The following is a 4789-nucleotide window of genomic DNA, read 5'->3' as shown; positions in this document are numbered from 1 at the left end:
GAGAACTAAAATTAGAAATGCAGCATGAAGAGGTGTCTGAACCGCTGCAATCTTATGATAAAACTTGAAAGGATAAGGAGCAGCTTCTTATGGATGAGCAGAGAAAGTGGTTTCCTGAAATGGAATCCACTCTTGACAAAGGTGCTGTGAACATTGTTAAAATGACAACATAGGGTTTAGAACAACATATAAACTTAGTTGATAAAGAAGCAGCAGGGTTTGGAGAGGCCGACTCCAATTTAAAAGAAGTTGTACTGTGGGAAAAATGCTATCAAACAATACTACATGCTATAAAGAAATCATTCATGAAAGGAAGAATCAAATCAATGTGGCCAACTTCATTGTAGTCTTATTTTAAGAAACTTCCACAGCCACCCTAACCTTCAGCAACTACTGCCCTGCTCAGGCAGCAGCCATCAACATTGAGGCAATACCATTCACGAGCAAAAGAATACTACTTGCTGAAGACGCTGATGATTGTTAGCATTTTTTAGCAATAAAATACTATTTCATTAAAGTATGTATATTTCTGTTTAGATATAATGCTATTGCTCGTATAATAGACTACAGTAAAACATTTATATGCAAAGGGAAGCAAAAAAAAAAAAACCTGTGTAACTTGCTTTTCTGTGACATTACCCTTATTACAGTGATCTGGAACTGAATGCAAAAATCTTTGAGATATGCCAGCATGTGAGTTTTTGGTCAATCTCCATCTTGTTAACCTTGTCATAAGCAAAGCCACATATGTTCATAAATACTGAATTCCAATATGCATGGTATGCGGATGGACTTTTAAGAAGTGGATAGGCCAGAGCAAGCTTTGTTGTAATCACTCTCATCTCAACCACCCAGGCATCAGCTGTGGAAATAGCAGACACAGTAAGACAGCACAATAGTGGAAACATGTTTATTTTTATTATTTAGGGTTCCAAAGACTGGGGTAGGTAAAACTATTGAAGATTAACAAGGCAAACTCAGCAGAGAAGAGAGTGTCCAGGTTGAGTTGAGTTGGAGAGATGGTCCGGTTTAATTTTTGACTCCGTTGTAATTGCTGGATCAGTTCTAGACATGTATTTTCCAGTTGCCTCTAGTTTTTGAACTTGCAGACAAAGGAGAACTTGTCTTCACAAGGCACATCCTTCCATTTCTGGAATCCTATAAGTCAATGAGAAGAGTTACAACTGGGAGACCCGAAAGAGTATGACCCTCCTGGCTTTAGGACTCAGGACAAAAACCAAACATCCATTTCCTTAATGAGGAGTTCACCTTTCCTCTATCCCAGTCCCAGTTCCATCCCTGGAGCTAAGCAGGAGAGAACAGAAACAGGTGGATGGATTCTCTGCCTCTCACCTGTGCTTGAGGTCAGGCTCACACAGTAGCCAGGATTAACACTGCTTGGGGCTCCAATGCCCCAGGACTTGTAGGAGACCAGGGACCCACTGCTCCAGTGCCAGCGGCGGTTCTAGATGGGGAAGGGCCAGAACAGAGGCAGTGGTCACTCAAAAATACATGGAATCACTGGGCCTGTGTGCACACTCAGAAACATGCTAAGACACAAAGGAAGAATAAACCTTGCTAAATATTGTTTCCTTTCCTTTGCTATTGCTCTAAACTTCTTTCCTGAACTGTCCAACTCATTAACTGTATTCCACCAAGAAATAAGTGTTATGAATTTGACAGAGACCCAAAGTATCTCACTTAAAAAGTGGTTCCTGATTTTTTGTCTTTGTGGCCCAGGACCCTCATATCCAGCATAGCATTGGCTGACCATTAGTTGTTGATATATTATATTATTTAGTATACTACCAGGTTCCCAAATGCCAGCAGTACAGCAGCAGATTTTTACCACAAGTCTCCTTTCCTATATAGTCGGCAATCTAGTCTCTCTTGTGACTCTGACAGTAACAAAATAGGTAAGAAGTTGGTGCATAAAGATGCTTTGTTGACTGAAAACAGAATAAGTTTATTCATGAATGACAAGAACACCTAGGAAATTCAGCCTTCCACTTATATCTCCAATCATCTACAGTGCACCTTGCTACACAGGACATTAGAGGATCTGTAAACAGCCTGATTTCTGGAAAGCGATAAAAGCTGGTACTTAAGAGACCAGAACTTGAACCTCCTTCTTACTTCTCAAACCTGATCATTAGGAGATAAAGAAGGCTGCAGCCTACCTTTTTGGGGTCATGGAGGCCAATCCAGACATTGAAGTCATCAGTGCCACTCTCCTTAATCAGTGAGGCCACAAAGGCACCCTCGGCCTGGGTGAGCACAGACACCAGGTTGCCCGAATTCATGTTCTGGCAATAGAGCTGTTGCAGAAGAAAATGGAGCACTCAGTGGAGGAGGAAGTTGTGACGGATATACTGAGTCCTCCAAGAGGACGGGTCAGAAAAAGGACAGCAGAGTAATGTCCGTGATGATGCTGTCACTGACCACCAGGTTCTTTGTGCTGGGAATGTGCTGAATAATGGGATAAAGTAGATTGGAAAGTTTGGGGCTGATGATAGTATAGCAAGGGGTTCAGTCTCATCTCATTGCAGCCACTGAACACACTGGAGAGTGGCAGCTTCCCCTCCCTTCATGAGTCTCCCTTCCCACACTGCTCTCCTCACTCACATCTGCATCAACCCAGGTCTCACGGTCTTCATTAAAGTAGTAGCAGTAGGAGCGATAGGCATTGGTGCCTTCTGGGCAGCTGATCCGGGCCTGGGGCAACTCTGTCTGGGCCTCTTGGCCTGAAAAAGAAGAGACAATTAAAGGAGGCTCTCAGGGTAAGGAAAAGGCTTGAAGGTGAGGTAAGAGCTTCTGAGGTTCCTTTATAGAAACAGAAGAATCCAGTCTATTATGGGATGACTGCTCACTATTGCTCCTGCATCCTACATCTTCTGTCTTTGGTTTCTTTGATCAGGGGAAAAAAAACAGAATGAATAGGCCAAAGAAACAAGTCTCCAGTTTCCCTTTTATGTCTGGAGCTCAGGCTCTTCTACCTTGAAGGACTCAGCCTTCTACTTTCTCAAGCCTGACTTGGTTTCCCTGAACACAAGGCTCTCTTCAGTTCTCCACCCCATTAGTGACTGTCTACACACAGACATCCCCAAATCCACCATCACGTATAAATTTAATCAGATAAACTCATGCCAACTGCAGCAGTTGCTTATAAGGGGTCATTTTAAATTCTAGCTCCAACTCCTTAATGAGGTGTGGATGTATATAAATGTGAAGAGATCAGCAATAAAGATCACTAAACACCACAAAACAACCCTTAACAGTGACTCTGCTTTTTTTTTTTTTTTCAAGTAGACCCGTATGCTTGGGGATAGAGTGAAGTCTTCAGGGCTAGAAAGAGTTGGTTGGTGGAAAAGAGATCTTACCTTGGCTCTGAGACAGAAACATCAGGCAGGAGATCAGCATGAAGTATGAGCTGGTCTGAGCCATGCTGAGCTGCAATGAATCTCTTGCTTAAGAGGCAAATCAACAATCTCTATAGGAGAACACAGAGAAGGGGGTTCTGAGAGATGGAGAGCAAAGCACCTATTACCTTCCTTAAAACCTCCTCTCAGAATTTCTGAGACCAGGAAGGTCCTCTGAGACACCCACACCTTCAAATGTTTCTCTTGAGAGTGGGGATTATACAGACTCAGTAACTGAAAAACAACTTTGGATCCCACTGAGGCTTCATTACAGCTAAAACCTCTTGGACAGAAACTCATGCTGTATCTTCCCGAAGATTTTAGATCTACAGTGCATGTTAGAGACGCCCTTCTCCTGTAATGCCCACTTACCTGTTGGCTGAGTCTGAGTTGGCTTCTCAGGCCAGGTAGCTGTAGGAGCTTTATATCAGGATCTGAGATAAGAACCACGTCATTTAAGCAAAAGGGGTGGGGGCAAGCGGTGAGTTTTGGGAGCATTGACAGTAAGAGATTCTGGCACCAGTACGAGCCTTTTCCCGGCACACACTGGGAGTGGTCACAACTCAGGTCCCCTTCTGGCAAAAAATTTGGCAAGCTGTCTAAGTCCAAGGTGGACTTTGCTCTTGCTCAGCAGAAAACAACTGAGGGCTCCCATGTGCCCTAATAACCCAGAGAGGAGCAGAGAACAGTAGACTTCCTTGTATTCCCTGTAAATTTAGAGGCTCCTCTTTGGTGTCAGGCATGGGTAGGAGATGGGGAAGAATTAACTGATTCCAAATAATTTAGAACAATGTGCTTGTGGCAATAAGTGGTTCCTCCATGTCTTTTTAGGCTCACAAACCTCTCAAGACCTACCTCAAGGGGTAGGTTAAATTTATATTTCTAAACATTTAACATGTCTAACAAGGTTTGAGCTAACAAAATACACATATTCTCAATGTGAGAATTGTAGAGAGCTGATGCCTAAGGAAGCTTAAAGGAGCTAAATATGAAGTCAGGCTTCATTGAAATTGTCCATTTGAAGTCAACTGTTTGTTAGTATGAAGTCAAAGATTGTGTGGTGAAATTGAGTATTTACCAGAATCATCATAGAATAGTCATTTATAATTCAGGGAATAAAAGCCAATCAGAATGCAAAATTAGGAAGAAAAAACTAACCTGAATATTCACAGAAAGAGAGATAAGTATATGAATTGGGACAAATGGATTAACAAAATATAATAAAATACTAAACAGAATTTAAATCGAATAAAGTAGATATCTATATTTCAACTTGGACTAGTATCAAAGCCATAACATTGAATACAAAAATTCAGTTGCAAGAAGTTATAAGCTATTTGATAAACTTTATATATGGTTTTAAAAGACAG

The 4789-nt window shown here is 41.7% G+C and overlaps 1 protein-coding gene across 1 annotated transcript; it reads right to left on the bottom strand.

The window, feature by feature from the left end:
• REG1A (regenerating family member 1 alpha) lies at window positions 897–3818 on the bottom strand. The gene is made up of 6 exons (NM_002909.5): window positions 3792–3818; window positions 3381–3490; window positions 2626–2744; window positions 2181–2318; window positions 1354–1465; window positions 897–1158 (listed from the first exon to the last, which is right to left on the bottom strand). Exons 2-6 carry the CDS (start codon window positions 3442–3444, stop codon window positions 1091–1093), a joined length of 501 nt encoding a protein of 166 aa, NP_002900.2. The 5' UTR covers window positions 3445–3490; window positions 3792–3818; the 3' UTR covers window positions 897–1090.

The sequence above is a fragment of the Homo sapiens genome, chromosome 2 (assembly GCF_000001405.40).
Source record: "Homo sapiens chromosome 2, GRCh38.p14 Primary Assembly".
Taxonomy (NCBI): domain Eukaryota; kingdom Metazoa; phylum Chordata; class Mammalia; order Primates; family Hominidae; genus Homo; species Homo sapiens.
This window is presented reverse-complemented; position numbering and strand designations above follow the sequence as displayed.

Excerpts from the sequence above, each read along its gene's own strand:
- REG1A (NM_002909.5), bottom strand. The coding sequence starts at position 3,444 with ATGGCTCAGACCAGCTCATACTTCATGCTGATCTCCTGCCTGATGTTT. Across the intron at positions 2,745-3,380 it reads GTTTCTGTCTCAGAGCCAAG|GCCAAGAGGCCCAGACAGAG; the intron begins GTAAGATCTCTT and ends CTTCTTTTTCAG. Across the intron at positions 1,159-1,353 it reads GAGCCTGACCTCAAGCACAG|GATTCCAGAAATGGAAGGAT; the intron begins GTGAGAGGCAGA and ends ATTGACTTATAG.